Raw genomic sequence first — 18,924 nt, forward strand, 5'->3', positions numbered from 1 at the left:
AACTGCTTGGGAGTCACAGACCTCAACCCCAAGCAAGAAAGGAAAAGGTCTATAAGAAAATCATGGTGGTCCTGAGAGGAGATGGATTCCTGCTGTCATTACACTGCCCTCTATGCCTGAGATCTCATCACAAATCCAGCCATCTCTTTTTTCTCAAAAAAATCAGAGGTAACTCTGTCCCCAAAACCCATAACTGACACCACTCACTAGAGGCCCAGTGAACAGCTTTCTGCATCACAGCCATAACACCCTGTGTTACTTTGGTAGACTTTCCCTTGGATACCTGGTAGGTGCTCTGAGTGAGCTTGAAGACTGATTATATCTCATACCATCCCTGACAATTTGGAGGCTGGAAAAGATATTTTCTTCTCTACTGGAAAACAAAGGCAGGAGGCACCAAGGATCTCCAGAGAACGGAGGCCCCAGAGGAAGGAAAGAACCAGCACAGAACAGTCTCCTGACACTGTTCCTCTAGCTGGTAAATTGATCCTCACTGAGCACAGGACCAGAGCTCACTCCCTGAGGGCTCTGTTCATAATGCCTCCATCCTCCAGCAAACACCAAGAGACCTTCTCCCTATTTCTGCTCCTTCATTCTTTGATGGCTAACATAGAAAAGGCTACCTCTCCTCTCCAGGACAATCAGACAGTCTCAGAGAAACTTCAGGTTTGTGATCCCCTTTTGTCCATGAAAGGAGATGATGCAATGGACAAAGTTTCCAGGATTGGTAAAGCCTAGGTTGTAATTCAAGTCCTAGGCTCCTTACTCAAATCCACTGTTTTTCTACTATGCCTGAGTTGCCTACCCCTTCTCATAAAGGGAAAAGCTGTTCTTATTTTCAAGGACTTTGCAGAAAGTAAATAGGTGTAATGATATGTAGTCAAAATCAAGTGAAGCAGATGGATGTGTGCTGCTGAGATCAGAACAATAATGCTTCCGATCCACACTGCCTTTTTGAGCTAGCCTTGGGGAAAAAGTAAAACATCAGAGAAATGCTTTTGTCTCATATTATGTATTATAGCACAGGAGCTGGCTAACTTAATGTGGGTCTAATCCAACATTTCTGAGATATAATGAGGGTGAAGCTGTTGTTTTCTTGTTTGGAAAGTTAATTGACCCAATCCAAGCATCCTGTACAGCATCCACAGCTTTAACACCACTGAACCTGTATTCACACTTGCTTCTGTAACCAACTCGGGGGAATCTGCCTGCCACTTTGGACAGCTCCAGTTTAGCCCTGTGCCAGGTAAACACTGCTGCTGCTCTCTGTACAGAGGAGCTAGGTAATAAAAGGTGAGTAACATTACACTCTTGTTAGAAATATCTTTTTTCTGTCACACGCTCTTGATCTACTTAAGTCAAGCGTCAAATGGTGACAGCACACAGAGAATCATTTTCACACCCTTCTTGTTTTCTAGGGCAGCTTTGTTAGACTCTCAAAGTCGAAAAATTGCCCTGAGGGGGAACTTGCCTGGAAATTTTGCCTTCGTGTATAAATGTCAAACTACCCAACTGGCATTTTTTTTTTTTTTTTTTTGAGACAGAGTTTCACTCTGTCACCCAAGCTGGAGTGCAGTGGCACGATCACGGCTCACCACAACCTCTGCCTCCCGGGTTCAGTTGATTCTCCTGCTTCAGCCTCCCAAGTAGCTGAGATTACTGGCACATATGACCATACCCGGCTAATTTTTGTAGTATTAGTAAAAACGAGGTTTCAACATGTTGGCCAGGTTGGTCTCAAACTCCCGACCTCAGGTGATCTCCTGCCTCGGCCTCCCAAATAGCTGGGATTACAGGTGTGAACCACCAAGCCCAGCCCCCAAATGGCATTTTCATCTGAGAGACAAATGCAACAAACATCACCTCTAGATCCATAAAGTCTTCATATCATGTATACATGTGGGATACTTGGAATAATAGTATTTCATAATGAAAAGGAATCAAAAATCATATAATCCAACTCCCATTTCATATAAAGAAAATGAAGCTTATACAGGTTAAAAGACTACTAGAACCCCTCCACAACTTTGTTGCAATACTGAAGCTAGAATTTCCCTCTAGCTCTGTCCTAATTCTATATCCAAAGCTGTGGAACAATAATTATCTTTAGCAGTCAGGAAGAAACTCTCTGGGATGGGACATGTTCTATCACCCAGAACATTCGATTTCCCATGGCTTCCTTTGAATGGAATTCCTCTCAAGTCTAGGACAACACTCTAGTAGCCTAGGGTAATTTGAAGTCTCTCTTATATATTTCATTTCCTCAAATTTCATCTCTCCTTCATTTTGAAGTTCAATGAAGTAATTGGTAAATATCTATCGATGTATTGTCTATCTATATCCTCTATAACAGTGTAGACAATCATTTTTTAACAAATATTTGAGAAATACCTATTATCTTCCTCAGACTATGTGGGGCACTGGCGATAAAGAGTGAACTTGAAGTACAAGAGCAAAAATCCTGAGTCCTGAAAGTACCCGGCTGTTTGTAAAAACTGAAAGAAGGCCAGTGTTATATTGCTGAAGTTTTGAGGAGGAAGGGTGTACATGTTATGTGTGTGCATGCATGTGTATAGAGAGGAGACAGTCAGAGAGGCAAATTCCAATGGCTTTGGAAACATAATTTAGCTGAAAGTTGGCCCAGAGGTCTGAGTTAGTTCAGCAGAACAGACTGATTCCAGCTTTCACCTCTAGAAGTCCCCTCTGTTTGTTTTTTGTTTTGTTTTGTTTGTTGTTTTGGTTTTTGTTTTGGGGGTTGTATTGAGGCAGAGTCTCACTTTGTTGCCAAGGCTGGAGTGCAGTGGTGCAATCTCAGCTCACTGCAACCTCTGCCTCCTGGGTTCAGGCAAATTCTTGTGCCTCAGCCTCTCGAGTAACTGGGATTACAGGTGGTGCGTGCCTCCAAGCCTGGCTAATTTGTGTGTTTTTAGTAGAGACGAAGTTTTGCCATGTTGGCCAGGCTGGTCTCGAACTCCTGAGCTCAAGTGATCCTCCTGCCTCGGCCTCCTAAAACACAGGGGTTACAAGTTCCTCTCTGTTTCTAACAAAGGTATTTGCCTCACCAAGGAGCTTCTGTTGTTCCACAGTCAAATGGATGTTCCTTGTTCTGTTTTCCCTATAAATGTGTACAGTAGGGGTTAGCAAACTATATCCAATGTGCCAAACCTGGCCTGCTGCCTATTTTTGTAGGGCCAGCAAGTTAACAATAGATTTTACATTTTTAATATGTTTAAAAATTGATAGAAAATGAGATTTTGTGACACATGAAAATTATATGAAATTCACATTTCAGTAGACATAATAGTTTTATAGCAACATAGGCACATACATTCACTTACATATTATGTATGGTTGCATTTGCAGTACACAGCAGAGCTGAGTAGTTTTGACAGAGACTATAGAGCCCATGAGACTAAACTATTTAAGAAAATGTTTGCTGACCCTGGTGTGAGTATCACAGAGATGGAATCCCTCGGTATGGAATTGTTGGCTAGTGTGTGTGTAGTCCAAACGTGCACACCCCTCAGTGGGAGCAGGAGAGCCCAGGGAATGATGTACACTCTGTTACCCTCTGCTTGCGAGTGTTTTCTCCAGTGAATCCTTATTTTATATTTGCAGCGCTTGTGTTAGTGGAGCATCTTTGTGCCTACTTTGTACAACAGAGTGTGTGTTTGTGTGTATGTGTGTGAGAGAGAGAAAGTTTGAATAATAGAATCATGAGATGATGTTGGAAATATTATGAAGGGTCAAACCAAAGATTACATTTTCAAAGTTTTATTTTATTCAAAGAGCATTGGGAAGCTAATTGAAATCTATGTGCAAGGAAAGGAACTGGTCTGATTTTCTTTCTTTAAGGAGTTACTCTGGCTGTGGCATGGAAAACAAGTTACAGACAGGCAAGAGTGGAAACAGGAAGCCAGTTAGAACAGCAGCATCACATGGTCCAGGGGAGAAAAGAGAATAGCTTGAACTAGGATGTTGGCAGTGGAGATGGGGAGAAGTGAGCAGACATGAGACTTATTTTTGAGACAAAACTAAAAGGAATTATTTGTGAATGAGATGTGAGGGTAGAGGAAAAGAAGGAGATACTACATTGAAATAAGTTCCATCAGAAAAAAATTGATTAAACATTTAATCCAAGAAGTCAAATTATTCGACTGTTGAGCAGATGCTTACCCCTAAAATAAAATTTTAGGAACACTAGCAAAAAAATCCTGGTCAAAAATGCCTAAGCATTATTAGTAAGAGTTGTTCTTAATTGATCATAATAAAGTTATATTCCTCTGAATTAGTACTAGTCATATACACTTAATCTTTTTTAGAAAACATGAAGGACCTTCACACATCATAGCAGAATTCTTTTTTGTGTGTTTTTATTCATTAGTAATTCATTAGTTTTATTCATTAGCCATGAATGGCTCGTGTGAAGCTAAGGTAACTTTTAAAACACCCTACAAAGGCAAAGGTGTGACATAGAAATGACTAAATGCTTAATGTCCTTAATCATGAGTGAAACTGGTGCAGAGTGACTTTATTTTAGAAAATAATTAGACCCGTCCACTGTCTGCTTTGAGTTCCCTTTATAAAAGATAAATATGCAGTCTCAGAAGTTTTCTGGGCCCCTAAACAAATGACTTTAAAAGTGGAGAAGCAGAAAAGAAAAAACTTATAGAAAATAGAAGTTTATGGTACAGTTACCAGAACCTATTCCACCCTATTCCCACCAAAAGCCAAGTACATTTAATCCTTATTTTGCTTATATATGTTAAAATAGAGTCTGACAGAAACTGTGGAGACTCTTTTGTCTCCAGGCATCCTCCATGTCACGGGAATTAGGGAATCCTGAGTTACAAATGACCTATAGGGTGTTTTAAAAAATTATGTGGCTGGGCGCAGTGGCTCATGCCTGTAATCCCAGCACTTTGGGAGGTCGAAGGGAGCAGATCACTGGAGGTCAGGAGTTCAAGACCAGCCTGGCCAACATGACATGAAACTTATCTATACTAAACATACAAAAATTAGCCGGGCTGGTGGCTTGTGCCTGTAATCCCAGCTACTCATAAGGCTGAGGCACGAGAATTGCTTGAACCCAGGAGGCGGACATTGCAGTGAGCTGCAATTGTGCCACTGCACTCCAGCCTGGGTGACAGAGCAAGGCTCCATCTCAATAAATAAATAAATCATTATGGATTGTGTTAAAATTTCTCCCTCAGTTCACCCCATCACCAACAAAACTGAATTCTTCCAACATAAACCTCTAAGTACTCACATCTGTACTTGAAAAGGATGTCAACTTGCTGCCGGCATCTTTTGTTTTTGGTCTTATAAGTTATACAGAATTTAAATATTCTGCTAAGAAATTAGTAGACTCTGCAGGGGAGGAAAAAATTTTTTTTCTCCTATCTAGGTTCTTCGGCTGGGGCCTTATAAGTAAGACTGACAAAACACAAATCAACAAGAGAAAAACAAACATAAGTTTATGAGCATACGCATCATAAATACACATGGGAGCACTGGGAGATGAGTAACTCAAAGGTGTGGTTAGAAGTTAGGCTTACATAGCATCTCAGCTAAAGAATAATAATTTTTTTAGAGAAGTGACAAGACAAAGAAAAAGGACTTTGCATTTCTAGGGTGGGAAACTGTGGGAAAATAAATATTATGGACAAACTAATGGAAGATACAGACTAAAGTTGGTAAAAATTGTTATATAGATTCCTCTGGTGCCATCTCCAGGCGGAAAGGGTTTACAGTTGTCTCTGGTAATTTTACCTCGTCCTCCCTGGTAGAGAGGAGAGGAAGGCTACCCTTGCAAAGTTATCCTGTTTCTATGCAAATAATAGGGGGAAGACAGAGAGCTTTTCTTGTATCTGCTTTTTCTCAATTGCCTTCAGCTGGAAATAATCTTATGCCAAAGTGGCATGTTTAGGGGCAGCAGATTCTGCTACCTTAAAACTTCCTGGGTCCCTGTGCCAACTTCAAAAAGCAAAATGTGGATCTAAACATAGAAGGAGGGACACAAACTTTCTTTAGTTTGCTCACTTATGCGCTTATTTAGAAAGGGCTCTAACTAATTCCAAGGCTTGATTACATGATTGTTTCACAAAGATATTCTAATTCATTTAAAACAAATGAAAGGCATCATGCAGATATTCAGCCTTCAAAAGCCACTCTGCCTTGAGATGTTCCTAAGTGGTTACTGGGAGATGGACCACAGCTTTAGTCTAATATCGCCTACAAACCCACTGTTATTTAGAATTGCATGTTATCAATTGTATCCATAATTTGTATTATTGGAATAGAATTATATCTTTAACTATAGTCTAGGCAAATTTATATATTCTTCACGGCAAGCACAGACGTGTTTCAGCATGGCCAGTTAATTCTTTCAGCCTGGTCTACTGAGGATGGCTAGGACTGCTGTCCTAACACAAAAGAAACTGACAACAGCTAATTTCCTCTAATTGATTTGACTGTGTTACTCATGAAACAAGTGAATGATATTATTAAGTTAATAAGTTAACCATTTAATTTAGAATAAGGCCAGTGTCAAAAGTGACATAAAAGAAGTAATTCAAACAGTTTTATGGTCTCATATTACATGGCTACACAGTTTCACTCAGTCTCTGCCACAAAAAGCTGCAATGATTTCACCGTCTGAAAATGAAATTCATTTGTGTAAGAATATATCCATAAATACATATTCTGTTATATATTTATACAAAGGCTCTTGAAGGAAAGTGTTGTAAACATGCCTGAAAATTATAATGGCTTTACACCTAGTAAAATGTAAATGACAGCTTATCAATTTTGGTCAAAAGTTTTCTTGAGCCTATGGTAAAAATGTGAACGCGAGCAAAGAATCAATCCAGATCAATACGTCAGTTTAAAAGAAAAAAAGTGACTATTGACATATCTGCATTCTGTTTTTTACTTTTTACTTTTATTTCAATAGTAAATTTATGCATTTTCTTTCCCAAAATGATTTAAATATAAATCTGATTCCCCATCTATGTTTGCACCGTCATTCAGTAATTGCTGGTGCTTTTACAATTCACAGGCACATGAAAATCTTCAACAGCCCCAGCAACTCCAGCACCTTCACTGGCTTCATCCTCCTGGGCTTCCCTTGCCCCAGGGAGGGGCAGATCCTCCTCTTTGTGCTCTTCACTGTTGTTTACCTCCTGACCCTCATGGGCAATGGTTCCATCATCTGTGCTGTGCACTGGGATCAGAGACTCCACGCCCCCATGTACATCCTGCTCGCCAACTTCTCCTTCTTGGAGATATGTTATGTCACCTCCACAGTCCCCAGCATGCTGGCCAACTTCCTCTCTGACACCAAGATCATCTCGTTCTCTGGCTGCTTCCTCCAGTTCTACTTTTTCTTCTCCTTGGGCTCTACAGAATGCTTTTTCCTGGCAGTTATGGCATTTGATCGATACCTTGCCATCTGTCGGCCTCTACGCTATCCAACCATTATGACCAGACGTCTCTGTACCAATCTTGTGGTCAATTGCTGGGTACTTGGTTTCATCTGGTTCTTGATTCCTATCGTCAACATCTCCCAAATGTCCTTCTGTGGATCTAGGATTATTGACCACTTCCTATGTGACCCAGCTCCTCTTCTAACTCTCACTTGCAAAAAAGGCCCTGTGATAGAGCTTGTCTTTTCTGTCTTAAGTCCTCTGCCTGTCTTTATGCTCTTTCTCTTCATTGTGGGGTCCTATGCTCTGGTCGTGAGAGCTGTGTTGAGGGTCCCTTCAGCAGCTGGGAGAAGAAAGGCTTTCTCCACCTGTGGGTCTCACCTGGCTGTGGTTTCACTGTTCTACGGCTCAGTACTGGTCATGTATGGGAGCCCACCATCTAAGAATGAAGCTGGAAAGCAGAAGACTGTGACTCTGTTTTATTCTGTTGTTACCCCACTGCTTAACCCTGTGATATATAGTCTTAGGAACAAAGATATGAGAAAAGCTCTGAAGAAATTTTGGGGAACATAAAATGTTAATCAAAAAGGTCCTTGCGTAATTAATCTTGTCTTTAATTTTGGGGTTTAAAAAAAAAACTGGTCTTGGCCAGGCGCGGTGGCTTACGCCTGTAATCCCAGCACTTTGGGAGCCCGAGGCGGGTGGATCACGAGGTCAGGAGATCAAGACCACCCTGGCTAACACGGTGAAACCCTGTCTCTACTAAAAAATACAAAAAATTAGCCGGGCGTGGTGGCGGACGCCTGTAGTCCCAGCTACTCGGGAGGCTGAGGCAGGAGAATGGCGTGAACCCGGGAGGCGGAGCTTGCAGTGAGCCGAGATCGCGCCACTGCACTCAAGCCTGGGCGACAGAGCGAGACTCTGTCTCAGGAAAAAAAAAAAAAAAAAACTGGTCTTATACAGTTAATTGTTCATCTTACTATTGGCCAAAGCTAAAATACCTGTGAGCATGTTTCTGTTATTTCTCCTTTCAGATCTTGATTATTTGCCCAGTTGTGTAACATGCCTCAATGTTTTTTAATTGACTGGTGGGCATTGTATTTTAAAAACTATAAAGACAATATATGCAGTAATGAAGGTTTTGTTCTAGCAAGTAGATGGAGTAGAGGCAGATCACATTGATTCTATTTAAGCACTACTTGTATGTGTTTTTAAAATGATCTGTGCTCGTTTTAGTTTTACTCTTAGGGTGTGGCTCTTACTGCAGGAACATAGCCTTTCTGAGACCTCAGGGACAAATCTGGACTGTTTAGAAGGTCCCTCCGCTTCAGCTGATCCTAGCCTCCTATTTCAGTACTTCTTGAACCCCATGACTCCTGAAACTTCCGCTTTGCTCTTTAGACTCTCAGCTTTTGTTTCTGCTAGCTATTTTGGGGTCTCACCGTGTACACACAGCTTAGAAATCCAAAAATGCCTTGAAGGGGAATTGCATCATATTTTTAGCCTAGCTTCTGTGGTCCTTCCCTCTCCAGGATTTCTCAAACGCCAGGTGCTTTGGCAACTTTCAAATTCTCTACCTTCTCAGTTCAGTAAAACTACTGCTTTCTGCTCAGTCCTTATTCCTCCTTTCCTCATACTCTCCCAACCCAGTAAATGGTCAAATATCCTCAGGGAAATACACATGGGGAATGTGAAACTCACCTCCCTTTTCTTCCCTTCATCTTGGACTGTAGCCCATGAAGGCTTGCCTATGTCAGTTGCTCTGAGTGCCTTCAAATGGTTGTTTTATGTATTTTGTCCAGATTTTACTGTTGATAGAAATTATTTTGGGTTTAGTACAAGTTTTTCAGTCATGACCAGAAAGTTTTTTCTATTCTATCTAGATTCCATACATTCTCACTTCTTCCTTCACTTTCAGGAGATTATCATGTAGCATGTGTCTTCAAAAGCCCACAAATCAGAGAGACAGGTGGATATAGAGGCTGGCATAAACACAAATCTGGGATGCACACCTGCTTTTCTTTTCATTGCAACCAGCAAAGAATCCCTGAGGACTCTTCCCCTGCAGGAAGCAGGGGAAAGGTTACCTATGGTAAAATAAATGATAAAATCAGGACCACAGATTTTGGCCTTTTTTTAATGGAAGGCACCCAGTAATTGTAGATCAGTAAAAATAGTCACCCAGAATTTGTATTAGAAGCTTGGGCTAGTTCTCCTTGAACTTTCCCCTAGGCCTGGAGTGAAAGGTCATGCTATGATTGAAGTGTCTTCACTAATCCAAATACCTGTTTTTCAGGTTAAATAAATAGGAATTGGGAATCAGGGAGCAATTTGCTGAGGATAATGACTTAATTCCAAAAAAAAAAAAAAAAAAAGTTCCTATCCACCACCCTTTTAACTAGCCCAAGTTCCCTTTGCTTTGAAAAGTAACCCTGAATTTCTCTTTAGGACTTCTCACTTATTTGCCAGTCATATCACAATAAGTTTGTTTCCTTAATATAAACGAAGCTCTGTAAAATAGTAAGAGAACAGAACAGTATCCCAGTAAGAAAATGAGCAAAAGGATATAAACGAATAACATCCAGAAAAAGATTCTTAAACATGGAAAGGGCACTAACTAATTCATAAAAAGGTAAAAGTAGAATAAGCCTATAAATATATCTCACTTTTTATCTATTAAATTGACAAAGATCAAGAAGTTTGATTACACATTGCGTGTCTGAGGATTGTGAAATGGGTTCTCTCACACTTAGCTGGTGGGCGTATCAGCTTTACAAACTCTATATAGGGTGACAAGGCAACCTCTATCAAAATTTAGAAGACACATATCCTTTAAAACAGCACCTCAACTTTTAAGTTGTTTAACCTACAGATATTTTTACACATGTGGGAAATGTTTACTGCAGCATTGTTGTAATAGCAAAATATTGAGAAAAACATCAGTTCCCATTAATAGAAGACTAGTAAAATGAGCTATGGTGAGTTATACCATGGAATATTATGTCTTCAATTTATAAACTATGAAGCAGTTCCATATGCAATGATATATAATATGTCCAAGACACACTGTTAAATGAAAAAAGCAAAGTGAATAGCAGAGTGTATTGTAGCTGCCTTCCATGGAAATGTGTATATCTCCTGAAAGAGCTCCAAAAAACTGATAACAATGGTTGCTTCAGGCAAGAAGAATTTTGTGTCTAAGGAACAAGATAGTAAAGGAGACTTTTTTTTCATAACTCCTTTTGTGCGTTCAAATTCTTTATCATGTGCCTATATTATGCATTGAAAAAATAATAAAACATATTTTGTAAAATTTTTTTATTTCCATAGGTTATTGGGGAACAGGTGATGTTTGGTTATATGAGTAAGTTCTTTAAACAAAGAACAATTTTCAATTTTTTTTTTTTTTTTTTTTTTTTGAGATGGAGTTTAGCTCCTGTTGCCCAGGCTGGAGTGCAATGGCGCCATCTCGGCTCACTGCAACCTCCACCTCCCACGTTCAAATGATTCTCCTGTCTCAGCCTCCTGAGTAGCTGGGATTACAGGTGCCCGCCACTACGCCTGGCTAATTTTTGGTATTTTTAGTAGAGATGGAGATTCACCATGTTGGCCAGGCTGGTCTCGAACTTCTGACCTCAGGTGATCCACCCACCTCGGCCTCCCAAAGTGCTGGGATTACAGGCGTGAGCCACTGCACCCGGCCAACAAAGAACAATTTTCTAGGAGAACTTTCTGATCATTAGATTTGGAAAATCATTTTTTCCCGCAATTCTAGGGTTCCTTAGGAGCCTGTTTATTGATAGAAATGTTGAAGCGAGGTCTTCAGAGCCCCTTAACATAATTTCACTCAGATAGTTTCGTACTTTAGAAAAAACCTGAGATACAGCTTCCTCATCTTAGGGCTTGTGTAAATATACTGTTATAAAACTTTAACGAGTTTTATCACAGTTATATTTAGACATCATCTCCCTTATTTTTCAATTACTGATTTTTATTGCCCTTGTTCGGCACCTGCAATGTACCAAACATTGAGCCAGGAAATAAATTTGAGACAAAGGTATATAAGACACATTTTCTTCCCTCATAGGATTCACAGTCTTGTGATCGAGAAAATTGGAAGGTTTTCTTTTTGTTAAGTAGCAAAAGTTCAGTGAGAGGGGAAGGCCTAATTACAGTGGAAGCTCACGAGAAGCTGCATGTATGTAAGTATGGAACTTGTGTGAAAGAGGTTGTAAGCACAGCACAGGCATTGTCTTTTTGCAAGTGCACCTCAGGTTACAGAATAGAAGTGCTTCTAGAAATTATTTTACACCATCGTATAATCAACCACTGCTAGTGGTTACTACTAAGGTCCCAGAGACAAAGCAAGTATGACCATAAAATATAATATAGGCTGGGCGTGGTGGCTATGCCTATAATCCGAGCACTTTGGGAGGCCGAGGTGGGTGGATCACCTGAGATCAGGAGTTCGAGACTAGCCTGGCCAACATGGTGAAACCCTGTCTCTACTAAAAATACAAAAAAAAAAATAGCCGGGTGTGGTGACGTATGCCTGTAATCCCAGCTACTTGGGAAGCTGAGGCGGGAGAATCCCTTGAACCCGGGAGGTGGAGCTTCCAGTGATCTGAGATCATGCCATTGTGCTCCAGCCTGGGCAACAAGAGTGAAACTTCATCTCAAAAAATAACAATAATAATAGTAATAATATAAATTGAATACAAAAGAGAGATATTATTTAAAATGTTAAGTAAATATAGATTTTAGTAATAGAATGTTGAATTGCTTCGATCTACCATCTTGCTGTGATCAAATAAAAATACTAAATTTAAAAAAAAACTTAAAAACATTGACAATCTGAAGAGAGAATAGAAAATGGCTAAGTCATTTTTTTATGAAAGCCTGAGAGGTGAGCACTAAGGCCATTCATGCTCAGAGAGCACTTGACTGTAGTTCATATCCTTATGCTTCAGGACAATTCCTGGCTGAGGAGATAGAAATAGGAACCTGGTGCTGGTGGGGAGGGGGTGGTCACAAAAAGCTGGTGCTCTAATGGTCTTCATCCTCAGGTAAGGATGAACCAGAGCTAGACCTGATGCCACTCAGAAGGGAATCACTCATCCCTGGAAGTTTGTGGCCATGGTTTAGCTCTCGTTTGAATTTTCTTCAATTTCCCCATTACACTAGCAATCTCTTCATCTTTTTTTTTTTTTTTTTTTTTTAGTTCAAAGGTGTTAGGCTTTCTTTTTGTTGTTGTTGTTTGCAGTTTGGGGGTTTTTTTAGATAGTATCTCACCCTGTCACCCATGCTGGAATACAGTGGTATGATCACAGCTAATTGCAGCCTCAACCTCTTGGGCTCAAGCAATCCTCCCACCTTAGCCTCTCAAGTAGCTGGGACCACAGGCACATGCCACCATGCCTGGCTAATTTTTTTTTTTTTTTTTTTAGAAATTGGGTCTCTCTATGTTGCCCAGGCTGTAGGCTTTCTATTAAAGACTTTGCCATCCTCTTTTTCCTTTGTTTCATTTTATGAATGGACACAACTCAAAATTTTTAAGTAAAATATTTTAATCCTCCAGCCTACATGAAATGTTAAGTCACAAAACAGCCTTAATCATTTTGAAAGATTAAAATCGTACCTATCTTTCTCAAATCACAATGGAATAAAACCGTAAATCAACAGCAAAAAGAAATATCCACAAATATGTGGATATTCAACAACACAATCTAAACCAAGCGATGAGTCAGAGAAGTCACAAGGGAAATTATAAAGTATCTTGAGACAAATAAAAATGAAAACACAACATACCAAAATTTACAAGATGAAAAGAAAGCAGCACTAAGAGAGAAATTTATAGCTATAAAGGCTTACATTATAAAAGAAGAAAAATCTCAACTCAAAAACCTAACTTTATGCCATAAGAAACTAGAAAAAGAAGAACAAACTAAATTCAAAGCTAGCAAATGGTAGGAAATAATGAAGATTACAGCAGGGATAAATGAAGTGAAAATATAAAACTGTAGAGAAAATGAACAAAACCAAAAGTTTGTTATTCAAAAAGATAAACTAAGTGGACAAGACTTTAGCTAGATTAAGAAAAAAAGAAGACTCAACAAAAATTAGAAATTAAATGAGGACATTACAACTGATTTTCTAGAAATTAGTTTTTATAACTTTTCCTATGAACAAAAAGAAGTTATCTCGAATTCCACACAGACGTCTCATCATTGCCTTTCAAAACATTCTTCTTGCCTTTGCTCTGGGGTCCAATTTGCCCTAAACTACATGAAAACTGTGGATGGAAGAAAGGATGCTATGCCAAGGACTCTTGAGGGAGTCATAAACCAGCCCAAGGGAAGACTGAAGTCATCACAATAATCTCCAAGACAAAACTTTAATTGCACCCCTGAATCACAGTGACACATTTCTTCATTCACCTGCACCCTCTTTCTGAAATCTCTTCATGAGGTTCATATGCCACTGCTTTTGTGGCACTATTCTGCCACAAAAGTAATTCATATATAAAACTCACCTGTTGACCTTTCTCTGCTGGATGAGACAATTGGAAGGTCTGGGTGCCCGGAGGTGACTGAGGTCCTTTATGTAGCCCTTGATGAAAATAACCACCCTGTCAGTCGAGGCCTAAACCTCAAGGGCTGACCATAGGAGGAGTGTGCTTCTTTCCTCTGGCTATAACTGTTACCCAAAGAATTACCTGTAAGTGTTCCTTTTGAGCACTTCAGGAAAGGAGAAAAGGGAGTTTCAACAGTTACCTTTATATATCCTAGGATTCTCTGGGTCAGGCTCCAGGTTTTGAGTCCACATAAGGCAAAGAGATGTATCAATGAGAAGGCACAGGCTCGGTTTGTATTCCTAGGACTCTATCATGAAGGGTAAGTAACTTTTTCCCCTGTCTAGGATTCACTTGACTTCTTCTAAGACATCTACACATGGATGCTAGCTCCAGTGAAATGCCTTTATAATATGAACATATTTTTGCAAAATTTTGTGAGTTTCTAGACGTGTGATTTCATGCACCGCATCTCCAGTATAAGTGTTGTAATGAACTGTTGACATCTGTGCCCAGCTACCCAGATCCTCCTCAGCTGAACACTTCCTTAAACGTTCTTGCCTAATTATTTGCAAAGGAATGCCTCATTATTTGGAAATTTGATAAATTACATAATTTGGTATTAGAAGTCATGCTTAATAACTCACTTTCTACAATGCCTCTGATTAAATATAACTTATTCCCATTACTTTTATGCACATCCCAGGAAATGTAATGCCCTTCCTTTAATACTTTATCTTCTGCCTTTTGAATTATTAATACTACTGTGTTTTTATGTCTTCTTTATGTTAGACCGACCTGTATGTTTCTAAGTGCCAGAATATACAAGAAGGTCGAAAAAATGAATCTGACCAACTAAAAGGAGCTGCCCATAGCTTCACTATGAGATAATATGAACATGAAATATTCATATTTGAATGACATATGACTTTTTAATCTAGTCATTCAGGTTCACTTAAATTCATTGGACGGGTGCAGTGGCTCACGCCTATAATCTCCGCACTTTGAGGGGCCAAAGGTTTGTAGAGAAAGCTTCTCATCATGTTCCCTAGGCTAGAGACATGATGAGAACATGTCTCTACAAAACATTTAATAATTAGCCTGGCATGGTGGCATACGTCTATCATCCCAGCTACTGAGGTTAAGGCAGTAGGATCGCTTGAGCTTGGGAGGTCAAGGCTGCAATGAACTATGATCCCGCGACTGCACTCCAGCATGGGTGATAGAGTAAGGCCCTGTCTCAAAAATAAACAAATAAATAAATAAAAATTAAAAATTAATTTATTGTTTTTCATTTAGGTTTTTAAATGATTCTGCTAAAAAATTATCCTAGTAACTTTGTAATTATATTTATTAGTAGTATTATTATGAACACTAACAGCTATGAATGTTGCAGGTCCTAATATATTCCAGGAACTGCACTAGGCACTACAACATGTACTAGGAAACTGTACTTCAACAATACTTTCACAAAAGCTCAGCAAAACAATGGTAACTTGCCTAGAGGCACATAGTATGCTGTACAGTATTTGAACCCAAGTCAATCTGATTTTATCATTTATTTTAAGTAAGTACCTTATATAACAGGATTACTTCATTAAGTATTACTGGAGTGAGTCTATATATATCTATATCTATGTATATCTATGTATATACATGTATATCTATGTATATATCTATATCTATGTATAGATCTATATCTATAGATATAGATATCTATGTATATCTATGTATATATCTATATCTATAGATATAGATATACACACACTTTGAGAAGGAAAATCAACAGGATTTGGAGATTGACAGCATATGGGAGGTGACAGAATTAAAAGGTTCCTTCAGTGCTTCTCAAGTTTCTGGCTTTAGCAAATGCTAACTGGATTGGTGAACGAAGAGTGGAGCCATTCGCTAAAAAGCAAGTACAAAGTGGGAGCTCTTACAAAGAAAAAGATGGAATAAAGATAAATACTGGGCAAAATGGTGACTACATGTTTAAAAATATAAATGACTAGAGAGGCCAATATTTAGAGTGGGATGCTCACAAATGACAGGGTCATAAGGCAAGGTGGAATTAGTGGATCACAAGGTTTAAATGTGATTTTGCTAAATGTGACCAAACTGACAAGTTACACAAGACTGCCCAGTGACGTTCAGACTGAGGACTCAGTGATGGTGATGTTCATAAACTCAGATTAGCTTTTTGGTGGCAGGGTTGGCAAGCCTGAAATTCACCCAACCATTAATTTATTCAACAAGTGCCTACTGTGTACCAGAAACTGAGTCATCTGAGAAATGAAAGATAAATTAAACATCATTTGTGAATTATAGACATTTTCAGTCTAGAGGGTAACACGAAACCATATGATTTGGTCGTTATGGTGCACGCTCTAGTAGAAAAATTTATAACATGCTACGTAAATATTAAACAGGAAATTTATCTTATATGTTACAGAGTTTTGTCTTGCTGACTTTAATATATGATAGGTATCAAAAGGATATCTAAAATCATCATCAAAATCTAAGACATCCTATATTGACAAGTGTAATTATTAATTTTTTAAATCTTGATAAGCTCAGGCTTTATGGGTCAAACTGTACTAAGATATACGTCCAAGAATATTAATCACAGTGGTGATTATAATAGAAAACATTGATAACAACCTGAATCTGTCATTAGAGGGTCGATTGAATGTATAGACAAGAAGAACAATGAAGCCATTGAGTTGATGATTCAGAGCTATATTTTTGACATGGAAAAAAGACAGATTAAGTTTAAAAACAAATTATAAAACAATTAATTTTGAAAATTTCCATTTTAATTATAAAGAAGAGAAGAACACACTCCTCCAAAGAGTTAAAATTTGTTTTCTCTGGGAGGTAGATTTTTTTTGTCTTTTTCTATACCTTTTATGTTTATAATTATAAAAAACAAGTACAGTATTTTGGTAAATTTTGAACAGTATAGCATTAATAAATTTAAATAACAAGACATAAGCATTTTAGATCATTTGAAATGCATTGAAAAACTTAACATTAATAAATATCCTTACATTTGGAAAAGGCTTACTGAATATTCTTTACATATATATTTTCTTTCATCACCAAGTGAAAGAAAATATTATGTGTTCAGCAAGAATTTACCATTAGCAACATTTAGAGCTATGTTTATTTATGTATGACTTTTTTAATTAACAAATAAAAAATTGTATATATTTATTATGTGTAACATGTTGTTTTGAAATATGTATACATTGTATAATGGCTACCTCCAGCTAATGAATATGCATTACCTCATATACTTACCACTTTTTTGTGGTGAGAACATTTAAAATCTACTGTCTTAGCAATTTTCAAGAAAAAAATACATTATTAACTATAGTTATCCATGTTATACAATAGAGCTCTTGAATTTATTTCTTCTATCTAACTGAAGTTTTGTATCCTTTGACCAACATCTCCCCAACCTCCCAGTTCCTGTAACCACCATTTTACTCTCTGCTGCTATAAATTCAACTTTTTTAGGTTCCACATATACATATAAGTGAAATCATACAGTATTTGTCTTCCTGAGCCTGGCTTTTTTCACTTAGCACCATGTCCCTGGGTTCATCCATGTTGTCACAAATGACAGGATTTCCTTCTTTTTTAAAAGCTGAATAGTATTCCATTGTGTGCGTATACTACACTTCCTTTACCTATTCATTCTGTTTGACTTTTGATCATTGACCTTCCAAACTTATCTAGATTCTGACTTTCTTGTAGGTGGGAAGTAGAGATTACAGTCGAGATGTCGAAACCTACAATCTGTAACATGTAACAGTACAAGAATGAATTCTTGTAGCAGAACAATATATTGTAACAAATTGTTTATTTTAATGAGAGAGATTTATGTTTAAATGATTCAAAACTCTGCATTTGTTTATGGTAGTAGAAATTCCATTTACAGGGAAGTTTAAAAGTGTGAAGTAAATTTAAGGAACAATCTCAGGTAACTATTAACTCTCTACTCTCCAGAAAAATATTGCCATGATATTTTCTCTTGGATTCTATGCTTAGACTTAAAATTCACTAATACAGAGTGAATAATGGCCACTCATAGCTCTCAAGTATCTGAGAAGTATGTCAAGTATTTTCCACCTTGGGAAAGATGTCAGAAAAAGTAGTTATTTTACTCCTAATTCTTGGTTTAAAAATTAAGTCAAACTAACAAGCTGCTTTATTAGAAATAATTAACTGTGGGTGGGAAAAAGAAATACAAACAGCCACTTTGCTGGCTTTCATAGAGGATAATGGTTCTGAGCTTTCAAAATTTCAAAGGGAAGGGAGAATTCTTAAAAATCACCCACTGATGAAAAATATCTGAATAATGTAGATTCTATTGTTATAACCCTAATTTTAAAGAAATCTGGGGCCAGGCACAGTGGCTCACTCCTGTAATCCCAGCACTTTGGGAGGCTGAGGCGGGTGGATCACCTGAGGTCAGGAGTTCGAGACCAGCTTGACCAACATGGAGAAACCCCGTCTCTACTAAAAATACAAAAGTAGCCGGGCATGGTGGTGCATGCTTGTAATCCCAGCTACTCGGGAGGCTGAGGCAGGAGAATCGCTTGAACCCAGGAGGCGGAGGTTGTGGTGAGCTGAGATTGGACCATTGCCCTCCAGCATGGGCAGCAAGAGCAAAACTCCGTCTCAAAAAAAAAAAAAAAAAAAGAAATTTGGGATCATTAGCATTGTTGATTTGTAGCTTCTGAATAAAAGTTAGGAGTCAGTGGATGGGTTATTGCAAACTAATTGCCAAATAGCCAACATATATAGCTTACACAGATTTACTACAAGTCTTTCAGAAAACAAAACTGTTTGTATAAATGGTGTTTTCTGTCATCTCTACAGCCCTGGAATTCACAAACAATTCAGAGACAAGCACTA

The 18,924-nt window shown here is 38.4% G+C and overlaps 1 protein-coding gene across 2 annotated transcripts; it reads left to right on the forward strand.

Moving 5' to 3' along the window:
- Positions 1 to 522: 522 nt before the first annotated feature.
- Positions 523 to 10,702, forward strand: OR11G2 (olfactory receptor family 11 subfamily G member 2). Of its 2 annotated transcripts, none has more exons than NM_001386033.1 (2): positions 523 to 1,293; positions 7,061 to 10,702. In NM_001386033.1, exon 2 carries the CDS (start codon positions 7,065 to 7,067, stop codon positions 7,998 to 8,000), a length of 936 nt encoding a protein of 311 aa, NP_001372962.1. In that variant the 5' UTR covers positions 523 to 1,293; positions 7,061 to 7,064; the 3' UTR covers positions 8,001 to 10,702. The 2 variants fall into 2 exon arrangements, with proteins under 2 accessions (NP_001372962.1, NP_001005503.2); NM_001005503.2 differs by having other exon boundaries at positions 523 to 666.

The sequence above is a fragment of the Homo sapiens genome, chromosome 14 (genome assembly GCF_000001405.40).
Source record: "Homo sapiens chromosome 14, GRCh38.p14 Primary Assembly".
NCBI lineage: Eukaryota > Metazoa > Chordata > Mammalia > Primates > Hominidae > Homo > Homo sapiens.